The sequence below is a fragment of the Homo sapiens genome, chromosome 19 (genome assembly GCF_000001405.40).
Source record: "Homo sapiens chromosome 19, GRCh38.p14 Primary Assembly".
NCBI lineage: Eukaryota > Metazoa > Chordata > Mammalia > Primates > Hominidae > Homo > Homo sapiens.
The window spans coordinates 20,041,023-20,060,000 of NC_000019.10; the positions used below are offsets into that span (position 1 = coordinate 20,041,023).

Genomic DNA, 18,978 nt, shown 5'->3' on the forward strand with positions numbered 1-18,978 from the left:
TCAATGGTGCGGTCTCGGCTCACTGCAACCTCCGCCTCCCGGGTTCAAGCGATTCTCCTGCCTCAGCCTCCCAAGTAGGTGGGATTACAGGCGCTTGCCACCACGCCCGCTAACTTTTTGTATTTTTAGTACAGACAGGGTTTCACCATGTTGGCCAGGATGGTCACGATCTCTCGACCTCGTGATCCACCCGCCTCGGCCTCCCAAAGTGCTGGAATTACAGGTGTGACCTACCGCACCTGGCCTTCATCAACAGTTTTGATGAATTAGTTATAAATGGTTTTTCAAATGCATGTAAAAACGTTTGCTGCTGAGTTGTGACCTTACAATCTTAACTCATTTCCCACTTACTATACTTTGCAGAACCAACCTCTGCTACTCGCTTTGTTCCTGATTGAACCTGGTTCCATGTGTGCTCAGTGTATACTATGCACAGGGCACTGTGCTGTGTGCCCTGGTCCCGGTGAGCATCATTCTCAGGGGAGAACCTTGCTGAAAACAAAATCACATCCCAAAAAGTTAAAATCATGCTACTGGCCGGGCGCGGTGGCTCACGCCTGTAATCGCAGCACTTTGGGAGGCCGAGGCGGGTGGAGCACGAGGTCAGACGTTCGAGACCAGCCTGGCTAACGTGGTGAAACCCCGTCTCTACTAAATATGCAAAAAATGCAAAAAATTAGCCGGGCGGGGGGGCGGGCGCCTGTAATCCGAACTACTTGGGAGGCTGAGGCAGGAGAATCCTTGAAACCTGGGAGGCAGAGGTTGCAGTGAGCCGAGATTGCACCACTGCAGTCCAGCCCCGGCGACAGTGCAAGACTCCGTCTCAAAAAAACAAAACAAAACAAAAACAAAAAACCATGCTACTTACCGAATTGAGGTGAAAATTAAAAGACCTAGGGGGTCACCCAAAGGTTAGAACATGAATCAATAACTTGGAATATTAATATACATCTGATGGTGCCCTGAGCACACATGTCCATTTTATTTTATTTTATCTTACCTTATTTTATTTTTATTTTTTGAGACAGAGTCTTGCTCTGTTGCCAAGGCTGGAGTACAGTGCCGCGGATCTCGGCTCACTGCAACCTCTGCCTCCCAGGTTCGAGCGATTCTCCTGCCTCAGTCTCCCCAGCAGCTGGGATTACAGGCATGCACCACCACGCCCAGCTAATTTTTTGTATTTTTAGTAGAGACGAGGTTTCACTACGTTGGGCAGACCTCGGGTGATCCGCCCGCCTCGGCCTCCCAAAGTGCTGGGATTGCAGGCGTGAGCCACTGCACCCCGCCACGTGTCTGCCTTTAAAAGAAAACAAAATAAAGCATTACTATTATTCTCAAATATTAATTTATAACTATTATGCAAACATGTAATATTTAAATTTTGATTGATGTATAGCATGCATACATAAATATATGCGCAAAACATTTATGGAAAACTTGATGAATTATTACAGACCAAACTCGTGTAACCAAGAAATAGAATCAGACTTGCTCATGCCCGACAGTCACTTTCTCCTTCTCTTCACAAAAGTAAGAGCTTAAGAGCTAAGTGTAGATCAACTTTGTCATTTTGTACAAGTGTTTTATTACAGAGCATTAAAAACATATCCAAAATACAAAGAAGGTGTATAATAGACCTGTCACCCAGCTTTAACAGCAACTTGACATGTGCCATTTTTGTTTCATTGATATTTCAACCCATTTCCCATCCCTTTATTAATTTTTTAGTTTTTTTTTAGATAAAATGTATATACATTGAAAGGTACGATCTTAACTGTACCTTTTGGACAAATCAACTCACTCATATAAACATCTCCTCTTTTAAGAACAGAATTACTCCACTTAATCATTAATGTACCCATAAGTTACCTCAAAGTATTATTTAAAATCTAGATTTTTATAAAATAGGTCTGAGTTTGGACTGAGAATTCATATTTCTAACAAAGTACGGATCCATAGAGCACATGGTAACTACAGAGTCTCTTTTATCTAAAGTAAATACAATTGGATGAATAAAATTAAGAAAAATTGACCTAAGGTGAAAGGACAAATCAAAACATCTGTGCAATATGCTATCTGTAGGAGCATTTGGTTAAGAAAAATATAAACTCACCAAAAAGTTTTATTATTTTAATAATGCAAATTGGCAAAATTCCTACTATTGTTTTCATAGAAATGCTCCCTCACAATAAAACATTTTCATATAGGAACGGTTACAGTGGCTCACGCATGTAATCCCAGCAATTTGGGAGGCTGAGGCGGGTGGATCACGAAGTCAGGAGTTCAAGACCAGCCTGGCCAAGATGGTTAAACCCCGTCTCTACTAAAAATACAAAAATTAGCCAGGCACAGTGGCAGGTGCCTGTAATCCCAGCTACTCAGGAGGCTGAAGCAGGAGAATCTCTTGAATCTGGGAGGTGGAGTTTGCAGTGAGCTGAGATCATACCACTGCACTCCAGCCTGGGTGACAGAGTGAGACTCCATCGCAGGAAAAAAAAAAAAGAAAGAAAAAAAGAAGAAAATTCATATCATAGGAAGGCACTGGTTAAAAATAGCAAATATTTGAAAGTAAATGTCTTATAACATTAAGTAGCAGATACCTTTTGAAGCCCATAGATGGCCTTTACATAGTTACCCAAAATTCAGTTGTTTACACAGCAAGTGCAGATAATTTTTATAGCTTCCTATTAAATTGTTATTAAAATTAAATTTATTAATTTTAATTAAATTAAAATTATATATTAAAATTATATGTTAATGCCCTTACAAAGTTTTCTTCTAAAATTCACTAACTTAAATTTTGTATATGACATATAAGTTCCCTTTACATTCAACTTAAATTTCCTTAATTTTATTAGGCAGTGCCTGTGTGTTTACCACCCAGTATTATTTGGGGTTCCTCCAACAGACATCACGGTTGGGGAAACAGGCTGTTCCTGCTTCTTTTTCCTCTTCAGGGCATCAGTTCATCAGTCAACCAAGTCGTGTGGGAGTGGAGGTCATATATTCCCTAGCATAGAGGGTGTCATTTCTGAGCACTCTGCTCAGAGTAGAAAAAGACCAGAAGGTCCTTTTAGGGAACACTTACTTGGGGAGGGCTAAGCCCCTTAAGGTGTGAGAGCTCTAATCAGCAGGTATAGACTTTTCAGGAGGGAGGGATGAGGCAGCCATTCTGAACCTGGAGCTCCATCACCTCTTGTCCCATCTCCAGACAATTCTAGAGGGCTGTTCAGGAACATGTCTGAAAGGTGCACATGGAGGAACAGTGTGGGCTTTGATCTGGCTTAGATGACGTCTGTCCTGGGGAGGCAGGAGGTCCATGCTCAGTATCTGGGCTGGTATCTTTGAGGTCAGTAGGTTGCCTTTTTGTATCCAAGTCCATTTTCACTAGGGAAGAGGCCAGACAGTCTAAATGGCTTCCAGAGCCCCTCTCTGATTCTCTTTGGGAGATAGGGTCTGAAAGAGGCTAAGTCAGTATTTTGGGGAAATTCTACAAAGTCTGGTTGGAAACTGGGAAGACCTCTTGCCTGGTGCTTAAATGCTCCATTTGCAGTCCTAGCCATATAGGTGTTTGGTAGACATAGAGCTGGGTTTGCATTTATATCAGCACAACCTTATGTCAGAGCTGAAGAAGTGGCCAGGATAAGTGTCTTGGTTGCAGGCTGGAGAACATCATAAAAGCAAACTGCTAGTTTGCTGATTTTCATCTTGGCAATGAGCATTGAGTCCTGGCCAAACTGCTTGAGTGCAGCATGAGGCCAATTCATAAATCCACCTCCACGCATCAGCTGTCCATAAGATAAGAGGAAGCTCAGTTCATGTTTTGACGAGAGGCTCTGCCATGTGAAAGAATCACATCTCAGGTGTCTTGACAGCTGGCTGACTTGTGAGAAAAGATCCAGGACAGATCTATTTTTGGATGCATCGACAGGCTTCAGCCTTCCAGAATAATGTGGGAGAAATGGCTTGCAAATAAAATATGGTAGGAACTCCTGATAATGAAGAGTAAAAACATGAACTTAATAAAAATAAGACAGAACCTATAAAAACATGCCATAGTAAAAGAAATACAAATGGACTTTTCTAGCATAAAGAGGCATTCAACCATAACGGTGATCAGGAGAAAATAAATTACAAAATAAATGTGTTTTGTTGGTGTGTGATCAGGGATACTAATCTGCGTCTTTGTTTGGGTTTCATTTTGAGATTGAGGATGGGAAATGGCTTGTAGCCCTCAGGGGGCTTTGAGAAATGTGGCAATCATCCCCAAGAGCTATGTTCTTCATGTTCATTCTTGACACTGGCTGAAGAGCCTCAGCTGAGAGAATGACCCACAAATACAGGTTAGGGATAGACTATGGGGCTCTGTGCTTAGAGAGAGGAGAGTCACCTAAACTCCTCTTTACCACAGCCCAATCCAAATGAGGGTAATTCCAAAGAAACTAAACTCAAAGCCAGAAACAGCACTGCTAGGTTAGGCAAGAATTTGACTCTTCCAAGGTGAGGAGAAACAGAGGATGGATTAACACAGTCTTCCCTGGGAAGGAAACTGGGAGTTATTTTAGCAACTAGGGCCTTATAGATCCTGGACTCTGTGTAAAAAGTAAAGTAGAGGTTCCTCTTCAAAGACTTTCCTCCCCATCTAATTATGAATAAATAGTAACTTCTCTTAGAAGCAAAATTTATTCAAAGACCTGTGCTCCTAAATATTTGCCCTGGCATGCTTATACTGGTCCAAGCAAGCATTAGGTCATAGCCTGTTCCTCTTCCTTATTTAAAAGTGTTTTTACCTTTCTCAGCATTCCACAAGTTACTTCCTACTTCCTTTGTTCTCCTCTACCTTTGTCTCTTTTAAAAAGTTCTAAGTTGCTAGCCAATCGGGACAAATGCAGAATGTGAGGTCCCATTCCAGCAGTAGGGTGGATACGTCAGGTTATAAATAACCCTGTCTCTTTTGTTCGATGTACTCTTGTGGCAAAACTGCTGGCGAGTATACCCTTTCTGCAGGAAGTAAAAATGCCCTTACTAAATAAATTAAATTTATGTTCAAGGGCTATTTCTTTACGGCACTGAAAAACAAACATTTCAAATACTCTGGAAACAGAAAATGTAGCTCCTGCAGAAAAAATAAAGATCTGCTACTTCTCAGACACTTTTACACTCATTGTAGTAGTAAATGACAGAACCTGTGGTGGTCCTAGGAAAAAAACTTGAACAATGTACTCAGAATGGCGAACTCTGGGTTTTCTTGAGGGCCAAGACTACTGACATTTCATGTGTTATATTTCATGTAAGACATTTGATGTCTTTTGGATACCTTATGACAGTTATGCATTTCTTTATAATCAGAAAAAAAATTAGCATGTAATCATGCATATATGTTTGTATATTGTACAATGTATCAAAATGAATATGTATATTTATATTCTCCCCCTTAAATTCAGAAAAAGCTGAAGCTCTTTACTCTCTCAGCCTGAGTCCAGGGAGGACGGATATCCACAAATTAGTGGATACAAACTAATTAGCATTCTCTAATAGAGAAGCGTTTCTATTTTTTGCAGTTTGATAAACTCATGGTGAAATTACCATGCTACTTTTTTTACTTTTTATTATTTAATATAAAATCTAAGACAAGATACATTAAGTACTTAGTGACACACGTATTTATTCCTCACCTGATTCATAATATCTGCCTAATTTTAAACTTTCTTCCATTTTATAGGTTCAATTGATCTTATTTTATTGTAGGATATTAAATCTAATACCAGCATTGTTATTTTATATATTATGTTCTTTAATTTTGTATATTTTCTATTGGCATTTTACACTGAAATAATGCAGTGTTTCATCATATAAATGACTTTATCTGTATTTAAAAAATAAAAGTCTGGGGCCGGGCGCGGTGGCTCACGCCTGTAATCCCAGCACTTTGGGAGGCCGAGGCGGGCGGATCACAAGGTCAGGAGATCAAGACCAACCTGGCTAACACGGTGAAACCCCATCTCTACTAAAAATACAAAAAAATTAGCGGGGCTTGGTGTCCGGCGCCTGTATTCCCAGCTACTGGGGAGGCTGAGGCAGGAGAATGGCGTGAACCCGGGAGGCGGAGCTTGCAGTGGGCCGAGATCGCGCCACTGCACTCCAGCCTGAGCAACAGAGCGAGACTCCGTCTCAAAAAAATAAAATAAAATAAAACAAATAATAAAATAAAATAAAAAGTATTTGGGTATTTTTTTTTTGGTCTTATAATTTCCATATTACATAGTGATGAGATAAACATTAATGTTTTGAGAGTATTTTAAACTTTTGATAATGACTCATTTGATCCACATGGAATTTTTTACTGCATGTGTGGGTTGAAAATCTGGTTTTGTTTTTTGTTTCCTTCTTTGTTCATTTGTTGAGACAGAGTCTCATTCTGTCGCCCATGTTGGAGTGCAGTGGTGCGATCTCAGCTCACTACAACCTCCCCATCCTGGGCTCAAGTGATTCTCCTGCCTCAGCCTCCCAAGTAGCTGGATTAGAGGCACGCACCACCACGCCTGGCTAATTTTTGTATTTTTACTAGAGATGGGGTTTCACCATGTTGGCAAGGCTGGTCTTGAACTCCTGATCTCAAGTGATCCACCTGCCTCAGCCTCCCAAAGTACTGGGATTAAAGGCATGAGCCATGGCACCTGGCCTGAAGAGCTGATTTCGCTTCTGCTTCATCTTCAACCTGATCTCCCCAGAACTGATAGCTCTTGCTGTAACTGGGGGATAGCAGTTTATTATTCCAATAAATGTGGCAAATTCAATAACATACTACAAATCAGTTGGAAAGCAGGACATGCCTTCAAGACATACACAACATGCACCAACCTATGTACAACAATAATAATTTGTAAATTTCAGTTGGAATGGAAAATAAAATGACAAAAAGATTGTTAAGGTAAATTAAAATGGAGGTCAGGCCTGAAGAATTCCTGAGCAGACCAAATCAGTTAGGCCTCATAAGTAACCTCAACCTTGCTTGATTTCCAAACATAAGCAAAACTTAACTTGAATTCTTTCTTGTAGCTGCCTATTTTAAAGAAAAACAGAAATGAATCTCAACCAATCAGAAGTAGCCAACAACCTTATATAGCTAGGAACTTTTCAACAAGGCAAAGAAACCAAAAACCGAGAAGAAACAAGTTTCTAACTACCACTAATTGAGTAATTTATTTTGTTTCTACATTTTCCCAATAAATAGTTGCCTCTTACACTGTCAATGAAACACTAAACCTCTTTTAGACTGGTGTCCTATAATTAATCAATTGCTCCTACTCAAACTCTTTACAATTTTATTGCGTCTCAGATTACTTTTTAGCAGAATAAAATAAACTATCTAGGAATCCATATTACAAAAACGTTTACAGAATATCAGAAAAGACAGAATGTTCATACAATATATGAATGTAGACATAAGCAAATAGAAAACTTACATGTTCTTAGGCAGAAAAACTCAATATACTATCAATATCAATTGTCTTTAAGGTAATTTAGAAATTTAATTTTGTTCTAATATAGATATCATTAGATATTGAGGTAGGCATTTTACTATAAAATAGCATATAGGCTGGGTGCAGTGGCTCACACCTGTAATCCAGCACTTTGGAAGGCTGAGGCGGGTGGATCACCTGAGGTCAGGAGCTCAAAATCAGCCTGGCCAAAATAGTGAAACCCCATCTCTACAAAAATACATAAATTAGCCAGGCATGATGGTGGATACCTGTAATCCCAGCCACTTGGGAGGCTGAGGCGGGAAAATTGCTTGAACCTCTGAGGCAGAGGTTGCACTGAGCCGAGATTGCACCACTGCACTCCAGCCTGGGCAACAAAGCAAGACTCTGTCTCAAAAATAAATAAATAAATAAATAAATAAATAAAACAGCATACAGATGAAAAGCCAAGAAAAGCCAAGAAAACTGTGGAAAAAAAAACACACACAACAAAACACAGATAATATTGGCCAGCCGTGGGAAAAATCTTGATTGATTAAAAAAGCTAATAATAGATCATTGGAACTAAAAATTCAGAAATAGACTAAAGTGCCTAAGAAACTGTCTTAGTCCATCCAGGCTGCTGTAACAAAATAACTTAGGCTGGGTAATGTAAAAACAACAGAAATTTATGGCTCACAGTTCTGGAGGCTGGAAAGTGCTAGATCAAGGCACCAAGAAATTTGGTGTTTGGTGACGGCCCAGTTCCTCACAGATGATACCTTCTTGGTGTGTCCTCACATGGCAAAAGAGACAAGGACACTCCCTTCAACCTCACTTATTCCATTCAGGAAGATGAAGCTCTCTTGGTTTAGTCACTTCCCGAAAGGTCGCATGCCTAATACTATCCACATATGAATTTGGAGGGGGACACAAATACTTAAACCACAGCAAAAATTTAATAAGCAGGAAAAACTAGTGGAGGATGGCATCACTAATACTTGACGTGTGAAAAACCGATGTTCCTATCACAAAGGAAAGAAATGACTCATTCTTCATGACATAGAACAAAATAAAGGTCCAATGAAAGATAAATCTATACAGAAAAATAAATTGGTGTTGATAAGGTGAATTCTACAGGTTGTATCAGGATTTTGGAGGTTTCTGGGGATGGGCAGGGCCCCAGAGTTTCCTCCTGTGACATTTTCCCTGAAGTTGCTCACGCTCTTACTCAATTTGAAAGTGGATAAAAATGTTTTTTCCTGTTCTAATATTTAAGAAATTCAAAACAAAAAGGCCTATGTATGCACGATTATCAAACAATCCGTCAGTGGTGCTCTGCTAAGGAAGGGCAAAGAATCCCACATCCACAAAAGTACGATGTTCTGTCAGATAAAGATGTCTCCCTGTGCCAGAGCCACATATTTTACACATGATCAGAGGCTTTCCCAGGGAAGCATTGCTCTGCAGCCCTTCCACAGACTTAACCCTGAGAATTTGACTTAGAAGATCACTGATGAACACACGCCCAAGCGTTCTGATCTACATGAATCCTCTCTTAATGGTTCCTTCCAGGGATCTGGGATCTTTCCCAAAGTCATCTGTCACACACAGATTGACTCAAAAATGTGGACAAAAGCTTTGATCCTCACTGGCACACCTGCTCTGTCTTATCAGCTTCTCTAGAAGTATGCTGCTCTAATTGCTCCTGAGAGACCCCATCTTAAGGTATCTCTCTGTGCCAACATAATTGATTTCATAAAGTGGGAAGAGAATAGGCAAGAGTCAAGCTATGCTGGGGGCTGTCTAAGATTCCCTTACCTATGTCTCTAATTTACGCACATATTGACTAATACAGATTCATCTCTAAGTGGTAGGAAATGGGAAGGAGGAGCCCCAGTTCTCAGAAAGAGAAGCCCCAGTTCACAGAAGGAGAAAATGTAATCAATGCTGCCTAGCTTCCAGCTTCAGCTTACCTATGGGGGACTGAGTCTCTTCTGAAAAAAGCAGCTGTTCTCCATAGTATTAGCCTGTTCTCATGCTACTAATAAAAAGACATACCCAAGACTGGGTAATTTATAAAGGAAGGAAGTTTAATTGACTCACAGTTCTACATGGCTGGAGGTGGGCGGTCGGTTCAAAATCATGGAGGAAGGCAAGGAGAGGCAAAGTCACATCTTACACTGTGGCAGGCAAGAGAGCATGTGCAGGCCAACTGCCCTCTATAAAACCATCAGATCTCGTGACATATATTCACTACCACAAGAACAGCTTGGGAAAGACACACACCCGTGATTCGATTACCTCCCTCCAGGTCCCTCTCATATCACACGGGAATTATGGGAGCTAGAATTCAAGATGAGATTTGGGTGGGGACACAGCCAAACCATATCATCCATCATTTGAAGGAACTGTGGTCTCAGGAAGCTAGGCATTGAGTGTGCACGCTGCCCCCTAGAATTCCACACCTACATCACAGAGACAGAATAGTCTCAAAGGATTCTTAAGGGTAATATGGGCAGCCAAAAGGAGGAGATGAATTCACAGCCTCTGCCTTACCTTCTGGTCTAACAAATACTACTCCTATCCTGGCCCAAAAGGATTCCCATACTCTTTTCTGGGTTGCACAAGGAGTAATTCAGAAAGACAAAAACTTATTAATGCCCCTTCATTCTCCATAACTTCTGAGGTAAGTTGTTCATTCCCTGGGTTTTAGGTTGTTGTTCTCTCTCTACCTCCACAGAACCAGTGTGTCCCATTCCATTACCTATAATTTCACCCATATTCTTCTTACCTCCTACTTTCTCCTAGACATTTTATCCAGTAGAGCCAGGTGAAATACAGACAAGTATATTTACACAAAACTTAACCAGAACTAAGTTGGAGTCCCATAAGCCCTATTGGGCTGCGATGGCACTCAGGCTGGCCTAAGGTTGTGGTTATGGAAAAGAATGCCACATTTTGCCCAGGAATGATCAATGTGGAATCTCAAATTTGGGAAATAGATCCTTAGAGCCCCCAACCGTTTCATCCTTCTCTTGGAGGCAATCAGGAAGAGATAATCCCCTTTTGGAGGAAACCATGTCTAATCAACAAATTACCTAACCAACATGTGTGGAAAAGGAGGTAAAATCAGACAGTTGACCCATTTTAGTAGATTTGGTAATAAATGCCACAAAGTCAGAGTTCAAGTGGTCTCAAAAGCCTAAAAGGCGACACAGATTAGTTTCAAGGAACACATGGTGTCACTGAGTGTTCCAACTTCCCAGAGGGTGAGTACCATGGCAACTTTGAGCAGGCTGGGAAACGATCCCAGACCCTTGAGGGTCTGTGAGAAATCAAACTTTCGGCACTTTGGAAGTCAGGAAACCAGCACGTTGGGGGAGGCGGGATCACAGTTACTTGCTGAGACAAGCTGCCCTGGCTACGTTCACTCCCGTCAGGTAGGAGAGGTTAAAGAACAGGAAGGCTCCCCCTCCGCAGGGCGGAACTGCTCTGAAGGCATGGAGGAGCGACGCTGAAGGTGGAGGCTTCGCCCACCATGCCGGGAGCTAAAATTTCTTAACCAATGCCGGCCAGCGATGGCAGGGCTGCGGGACTACAATCCCAGCGCGCACAGGGATCAGGGACTGTGCGCATCACTGGAAGAAGCGGCAGAACGGCGCGCGCCTCGCTGAGCTTTCTGGGAGATGTAGTCTCATGGCAACTCCCAGCCTTTTGGCCACAAGGCTACGGGACCTACAATCCCAGCCTGTACCAGGATCGGGAGCAGTTCGCAGCACTAGAGGAAGGGGCAGGGCGGTGCGCGCCGCGCCTGATATGCTGGGAGCTGTAGTCTCTTCACGGTTTTTAGCCAATGAGTAGGTAGCTTCAGAACTACAATCCCAGTATGCATGGGGGCGGTGCGTAGTCCTGGAGGTAGGGGCTGAGAGGTGTGGACTTACCGGTGTCCAAAGCATTGCTAGCAGCCAATTCCATGCCGCCCCGTTGCCAGGGAGAGTGAATACAGCTAGGGACGTGAAGGGTAGGTCTGGGCTGGGCATTGAGGAGGGTATTAGGCTAGGAAGTATACCTCACCTTTGTCCAAATCGGGTGGTTCGGCCTCCTCTCATTGGCCCTATGCAGCTGGGTTGCCTCTCTCACCCGCACCCAAGGGTCTTTCCAGAGTGTTGCGTCATTTCCAGCCCAGGGAGCTGCCTTCTTTCCTAAACTGCAATGGAAACTGTCCTGATGTCTGAGACAATGTCCGTTGTGCCGCAGCCCTCTGCCTTCTCTAGCCAGAGCGCGAGCTCAGCTGCTTTTGAGAGAAATCAGCCACCTGGCCCACCTGTGCACAACTTCAGAGCTTTGTAGGGGGTGACAAGGACTGTGTCTTCAGGGAAATGTCACGGGCATTAGCGCCTTTTTCGCAAATGTGAAAGTTGAGAAATCAAGAAGGTTAATTATTGGGTTGCCCAAGATCTGCTAAGAGCAAAGGAGAAAACTCCGTTTCCCAGGCATGTGTCTTGTGAGCCATTTTTAAATCAACCCTCTTAAGTGGACAAGCTCCAGAACACAACATGAAGCTGATGATGACTTAGGCAATTTATGCTTGAACTCATTGGCCTCATCTCAAGTCAGTGTCTCAGAGACACAGGTGGGACCTGATCCCCAAGGAACAGATAGCATTCCAGATTCATGGGAGCAACTTTTGAGATGTGGAGCACCCGGGGGGTCATTTGAAACCCATCAGGTTGCCGGGCGCGGTGGCTCACGCCTGTAATCCCAGCACTTTGGGAGGCCGAGGTGGGTGGATCACCTGAGGTAGGGAGTTCGAGACCAAACTGACCAACATGGAGAAACCCCATCTCTATTAAAAATACAAAATTAGTCGGGCATGGTGGCGCATGCCTGTAATCATAGCTACTCGGAAGGCTGAGGTAGGAGAATCACTTGAATCTGGGAGGCAGAGGTTGCGGTGAGTCGAGATAGCGCCACTGCACTCCAGCATGGGCAACAAGAGGAAAACTCCACCTCAAAAAAAAAAAAAAAAAAAAAAAAAGGTGTGTGTAATCTTCAGTTTTCAAGATGATTACAAAGATAATATTTATAGAAAGTATGCAAAATAAAATACAATCAAAGCATGCCAATAGAAAGTTAAATAAAAATTAAGAAAGTAAAACAGGCTGGGTGTGGTGGCTCACACCTGTAATCCCAGCACTTTGGGAGGCTGAGGCGGGTGGATCACAAGGTCAAGAGATGGAGACCATCCTGGCTAACATGGTGAAACCCTGTCTCTACTAAAAATACAAAAATTAGCTGGGCTTAGTGGCACGTGCCTGTAGTCCTAGCTACTCGGGAGGCTGAGGCAGGAGAATCACTTGAACCCGGGAGGCAGAGATTGCAGTGAGCCGAGATCACGCCACTGCACTCCAGCCTGGTGACAGAGCAAGACTCCGTCTCAAAAAAAAAAAAAAAGAAACCAAGTAAAACAGAAAATGAGAAAAATATAACTACTAGAAACACATAAAACAATAACAATATAACTAGTAATAACTTCATTTCCTTAATAAATTATTTTAAATATAAATTAAGTAAACTACTTAATAAAATGAAATGTAGTCTTAGGACTTTGGAAGGCCAAGATGGGCTGATCACTTGACCTGAGGAGTTCACCACCAGCTTGGGCAACATGGGAAAACTCTGTCTCTACAAAAAAATACAAAAAAGCTAGCTGGGTGCGATGGCAAATACTTGTAAATCAGCTACTTGAGAGGCTGAAATGAGAGGATCATCTGAGTTTGGGAGGTTCTGGCAGCAGTGAGCCCTGCAAATCAGCCTGGTTGACCGAATGAGACCCTATTGAAATACAAATGAGGCCTGGCGCGTTGGCTCATGCCTGTAATCCCAGCACTTTGAGAGGCTGAGGCAGGCAGATCACGAGGTCAGGAGTTCGAGACCAGCCTGGCCAATATGGTGAAACCCCCATCTCGACTAAAAACACAAAAATCAGCCAGGCATTGTGGCACGTGCCTATAGTCCCAGGGACTTGGGAGGATGTGGCAGAAGAATCGCTTGAACCCGGGAGGCAGAGGTTGCAGTGAGCTGAGATTGTACCACTGCACTCCAGCTTGGGTGACAGAGTGAGATTCCATCTCCAAAAAAAAAAAAAAAACCTACACTGAAAAAACACACTAATATGAAACTTCAAAACAATAATAAGAGAAATGTTTACTCTCATAAAACCTGGTATGCAACATTGATGTATCATTAAAAAAAACTTGTCAGGCTGGGTGCAGTGGCTCACACCTGTAATCTCAGCACTATGGGAGGCCGAGGCGGGTGGATCACCTATGGTCAGGAGTTTCAGAACAGCCTGGCCAATGTGGTGAAACCCTATCTCATATAAAAATATAAAAACTAGCTGGGCGTGATGACGTATGCCTGTAATTCCAGCTGCTTGGGAGGCTGAGACATAAGAACTGCTTGAATCCAGGAGGTGGAGGTTGCGGTGAGCCAAGATTGCACTACTGCACTCCAGCCTGGGTGACAGGGTGTCACTCCATCTCAAAAAAATAATTAAAAAATATTTGTCTCAGTAACTGCAGTATTTAGCTGTTACTGTGTACTTATTAAATGCAGGTATTTTGAATCATTGGCATGCACTGTGTGGCAATAGAATTTGAGAGAATATGCAGTATAGTTATAAATAGATTCTAATGAGAAACTTTTAATAAAAAAGCATTTAAAAAACTAGAGTTACTTTTTATGTTTTAAATATACATTATTCTTACACAAGATGAAACTGCTGAAATCTAACTTTAGAAGCAAAGAATAGCCTTACTTTTTTTTTTTTTTTTTTTTTTTTTTTTTTGAGACAGTGTCTTGCTCTGTTGCCCAGGCTGGAGTGCAGTGGTGCGATCTCGGCTCACTGCAACCTCCGCCTCCCGGGTTCAAACGATTCTTGTGCCTCACCCTTTTGAGTAGCTGGGATTACAGGCGCCTGCCACCATGCCCAGCTAATTTTTTTGTATTTTTAGTAGAGACAGGGTTTCACCATGTTGGTCAGGCTGGTCTCGAACCCCTGACCTTGTGATCCACCCGCCTCGGCCTCCCAAAGTGCTGGGATTATAGGCATGAGCCACCGCGCCCGACCTACATTGTTAAACATAGAAAAAAAAAAATATATATATAGATATATATTTTGCAGAATAGGGTTAGACCCTCTGATGTGTAAAACATATATTAGGAAATAAACTATGTTATTATTTAGTTATAGGCTGAAGAAAGTAGATAAAAATCTTATAATTCCTTATTGCCTGCAGCAAACTTAAATTTATAAGTAACTATTTTAGTAAATATGGAGTGCCTACTAATTATCTCATTTACTTCTGGCATACCATGCAAATCATCTCACATCTCACATCTCTTCATAGTCAAAGGTTTTTTTTTCCTTGCTCCAGACAGGTGATCAGGTCTTGCTTAGAGACAACAATACCTGTTTTATTAAAAATAAGAAACATAAATCTTGCTCGCATTCTCTAATTACAAGCTAGTAATGTGCTCGGCAGAGAGGATGTGATAAAATAGTCTAGTAAATTAATACAAAAATACTAAGTTATAAAAGAAATTTCTAAATATTTAGAAAATACTTTCAATTTGTAGGTTTCTTAATTTTACTATCTGGTACTATTGAATCAAAAATTGGTGGTGGCAATTAGATTTTCAGGTGCGGCAACAATCAATATTTTATGCCACTAAATTTCTGGAATTGCCACTAATTTACAGTGAAGAATACAGCTCAACTCAGGAATGTGGAAAGTTAGGATTACGATGAAACATCTTGAAATTCTTATCTAAATGAACAAATTTTGAAGATTTTCTGGGAAAAGGGGATCTGAAACTCTTTTATGCAAAGAATAAATGACTAAAACACATTCTACAAAAATGAGAAATAAAACCTTTAGGGTATATTATGAATTATGTACTCAAGTTATCCTCACCAAGGAAGATCAGGTTTCTGTAGTTCTCTAACATCACATCCCTATATAAATTCCACTGTGCAGTGTCCAGGCAATGCCACTCCTCCAGAGAGAATTCTATGGCCACGTCTCTAAATTGCAATGGTCCCTGAAACACACCCACACACCCACACACCCACACACACATACATTTTTACCATGTGGCCATGGACAGAACTTTTAATTTGACTTAAGGTGTAATGACAAAGTAAAGAGAACTGGCTCTGACTTATGGGACTGACTAAAATTATCCAATAAAATAATTTTCAACACAGAAATATTCTCTAATGTATTCTCTAACTGAGAAAAAAGAGCAGCATAAGATCCACAACATCAGTTCTTATAATGATATTTTTCTAGATAATAAGTATAAAATTAAGGGCGTGAACAGAACATGTGTATATATATATTTTTTTTTTGGAGGGGGATGGGGTCTCACTCTGTTGCTCAGGCTGGAGTGCACTGGCTCAATCTCGACTCACTGCAACCTCTACCTCCCCCAGGTGCAAGAGATTCTTCTGCCTCAGCCTCCCTAGTAGCTAGGATTACAGGCATCTGCCACCACGACTGGCTAATTTTTGTATTTATAGTAGAGACGGGGTTTCACTATGTTAGCCAGGCTGGTCTTGAACTCCTGACATCATGATCTGTTGGGAACAGGATCCCCAAAATCTGGCCATAAACTGGCCATAAACAAAATCTCTGCAGCACTGTGACATGTTTGTGATTGCCATGATGCCCACGCTGGAAGGTTGTGGGTTTACCGGAATGAGGGCAAGGAACACCTGGTCCACCCAGGGCAGAAAACCATGTAAAGGCATTCTTAAACCACAAACAATAACATGAGTGATCTCTGCCTTAAGGACATGCTCCTGCTGCAGATAACTAGCCAGACTCATTCCTTTACTTCAGCCCATCCCTTTATTTCCCATAAGGAATACTTTTAGTTAATCTATAATCTATAGAAACAATGCTTATCACTGGCTTGCTGTTAATAAATATGTGGGTAAACCTCTGCTCCAGGCTCTCAGCTCTGAAGGCTGTTAGAACCCTGATTTCCCACTCTACACCTCTATATTTCTGTGTGTGTGTCTTTAATTCCTCTAGCACCGCTGGGTTAGGGTCTCCCTGACCGAGCTGGTCTCGGGAATGATCCACCTGCCTCAGCCTCCCAAAGTGCTGGGATTACAGGCATGAGCCACCGCACCCAGCCTCACGAACGTGTATATTTTTCAGTGCTATATTTTCTTCATATGGAATGAGTTGTGAATATTTTTCAGATGGAAAAGACATGTTGTGTTAGAAGGCACCTCTCAAATTTTAATATGTACAGTAAGTTGAAGACCTTGTTTTGCAGGTTTCTTTTTTCCAGAAGATCTTTAATAAAGTCTGATTTTTAAATTAATTAATTAATTGATTGATTTTGAGATGGTGTTTTGCTCTTGTTGCCCAGCCTGGTGTGCCACCACACCTGGCTAATTTTTGTATTATTAGTAGAGATGGTATTTCACCATATTGGCTAGTCTGGTCTCAAGCTCCTGACCTCATGATCCACCTGTCCAGGCCCCCCACCAAACTGTTGGGATTCCAGGCATGAGCCACCATACCTGGCATTTTTAGGGAAATTTTATTAGAAAATAAATATGTACACTTAGCAAGGTAAAGGAAATACAAATTTTACAGCCGGGTATGGTGGCTTACACATGTATTCCCAGCACTTTGGGAGGCCGAGGCCAGCAGATCACAAGTTCAGTAGTTTGAGACAAGCCTGACCAACCTGGTGAAACACCATCTCTACTAAAAATACAAAAATTAGCTGGGCACAGTGGCAGGCACCTCACCTGTAATCCCAGCTACTCAGGAAGCTGAAGCAGGAGAATCACTTGAACCAGGGCAGCAGAGGTTTCAGTGAGCCGAGATCACACCACTACACTCCAGCCTGGGTGACAGAGACTCCATTTAAAAAAAAAAAAAGAAATTATAATAACAATTCTTCTGTTCCTAAATGTGCCTTCAGATGTAGAATCAGAAGTCACAACAATATAAAGAAAGTGGCCTAAATAAAGCCCAAGGTGTTGGACACATCTTTTTATTGTACCAACCATATGATGCACAATTCAATTATTTATCCAGTCGCTAGTGTAGACTAAAAGTTTCTGGATTGTAGAAACTATGACTGCTTCATGTATTTTTTTTAATGGCCATGTGAAATTGAAGCAACTAGTTTATCTATTTCGGTCTTCAGATCTCCTCCTTCTTTATTATCCAAGTACCAGGAAACTGGAGAAACTCTCATCTGGGTACCAACCAAAGACACCTCTTGTATGAGGGGATGAACAAACACAGATGACTCATTTCTCATACACTGAGACAGAAGCAGAATTAACCACTCTTGTCAGCCTGACACAATTCTGCATTGTACATCCTCAAATGCCTCAAAGACACCTAGGTGATTTTGAGGGAATTCCCAGTGACCCTGGGCTGATAGTCCAGTGATAAGCCACTCTGGAGAGACTCAGGCTGATTCTAAATAGAAAATGGAACTGCCTTGGTGGAACTCCAGAACCTGGATCATTTGTCCTTATTTGCTAGCTCTTGGATAAAAGAAAGAACAAAAATACTAATTTTTCAGGTAAAATACAAAAATCACATTTTAAAGGCAAATATAGTTGTGGTCATGGCTCTGGATGTTTTGCGGCCTTGATCTCTCACTCCTAAGATGCTTATTTATAGTTACAGATTCTGCCATCAGATTCTATTTCCTCCTGGGTCCTCTCACATAACTGTAGCAGGTGAACAAGATATGAAAAATCTCAAAGAACCACACTCCCGAATGGGGGCTGTAAGATGTGTATGTTGATATCTCACAATGCAGAAAATGCCTTTTGTTAGTTTTCTGTACATTCTTTATCCAAACTCCGGCCCTTATTTGTAAATCCGAAGCAGAGCCCAGACCTTATCTGCAGATTCTAGGTAGGATCCACCTGGCTCTGCATCCTTTGGTGTTACAGCAAGTGGAGTACAATCAAAGAAGAGATCCCCTCATAGAGGCTGCTCTAGCACATTCTAAATGATAAGTCTACATGAAAAAAAAAAAGCTGACACAAGATGAATGTAAGTACTGTCAGGCCTCTGAGCCCAAGCCTAGCCATCGCATCCCCTGTGACTTGCATGTATACGCCCAGATGGCCTGAAGTAACTGAAGAATAACAAAAGAAGTGAAAATGCCCTGCCCCACCTTAACTGATGACATTCCACCACAAAAGAAGTGAAAATGGCCGGTCCTTGCCTTAAGTGATGACATTACCTTGTGAAAGTCCTTTTCCTGGCTCATCCTGGCTCAAAAAGCTCCGCCACTGAGTACCTTGTGACCTCCACTCCTGCCCGCCAGAGAAAAAAACCCCCTTTGACTGTAATTTTCCTCCACCTACCGAAATCTTATAAAACAGCCCCACCCCTATCTCCCTTCGCTGACTCTCTTTTCGGACTCAGCCCGCCTGCACCCAGGTGATTAA

The 18,978-nt window shown here is 41.9% G+C and overlaps 1 long non-coding RNA gene and 1 pseudogene across 1 annotated transcript, besides 4 other annotated features; one reads left to right on the forward strand and one right to left on the reverse strand.

The window, feature by feature from the left end:
• Positions 1 to 1,265: 1,265 nt before the first annotated feature.
• LOC105372309 (uncharacterized) lies at positions 1,266 to 11,771 on the reverse strand. Its single transcript, XR_936387.2, has 3 exons — positions 11,541 to 11,771; positions 3,089 to 3,992; positions 1,266 to 1,297 (listed from the first exon to the last, which is right to left on the reverse strand). It is a non-coding gene; the product is annotated as an uncharacterized LOC105372309 (long non-coding RNA).
• Positions 10,327 to 11,054: an enhancer, noted in NCBI's record as "H3K27ac hESC enhancer chr19:20162158-20162885 (GRCh37/hg19 assembly coordinates)". NCBI's record gives its function as "activates a minimal SCP1, AML or CMV promoter by ChIP-STARR-seq in naive H9 embryonic stem cells {active_cell/tissue: H9 hESC(naive)}" and the evidence as "EXISTENCE:reporter gene assay evidence [ECO:0000049][PMID:30033119]".
• Positions 11,055 to 11,781: an enhancer, noted in NCBI's record as "H3K27ac hESC enhancer chr19:20162886-20163612 (GRCh37/hg19 assembly coordinates)". NCBI's record gives its function as "activates a minimal SCP1, AML or CMV promoter by ChIP-STARR-seq in naive H9 embryonic stem cells {active_cell/tissue: H9 hESC(naive)}" and the evidence as "EXISTENCE:reporter gene assay evidence [ECO:0000049][PMID:30033119]".
• Positions 17,694 to 18,639: an enhancer, noted in NCBI's record as "OCT4-NANOG-H3K27ac hESC enhancer chr19:20169525-20170470 (GRCh37/hg19 assembly coordinates)". NCBI's record gives its function as "activates a minimal SCP1, AML or CMV promoter by ChIP-STARR-seq in naive H9 embryonic stem cells {active_cell/tissue: H9 hESC(naive)}" and the evidence as "EXISTENCE:reporter gene assay evidence [ECO:0000049][PMID:30033119]".
• The window catches only part of BNIP3P13 (BCL2 interacting protein 3 pseudogene 13), a 3,814-nt pseudogene continuing 3,382 nt past the window's right edge, over positions 18,547 to 18,978 (forward strand).
• Positions 18,640 to 18,978: part of an enhancer, noted in NCBI's record as "OCT4-NANOG-H3K27ac hESC enhancer chr19:20170471-20171415 (GRCh37/hg19 assembly coordinates)", that runs on past the window's edge. NCBI's record gives its function as "activates a minimal SCP1, AML or CMV promoter by ChIP-STARR-seq in naive H9 embryonic stem cells {active_cell/tissue: H9 hESC(naive)}" and the evidence as "EXISTENCE:reporter gene assay evidence [ECO:0000049][PMID:30033119]".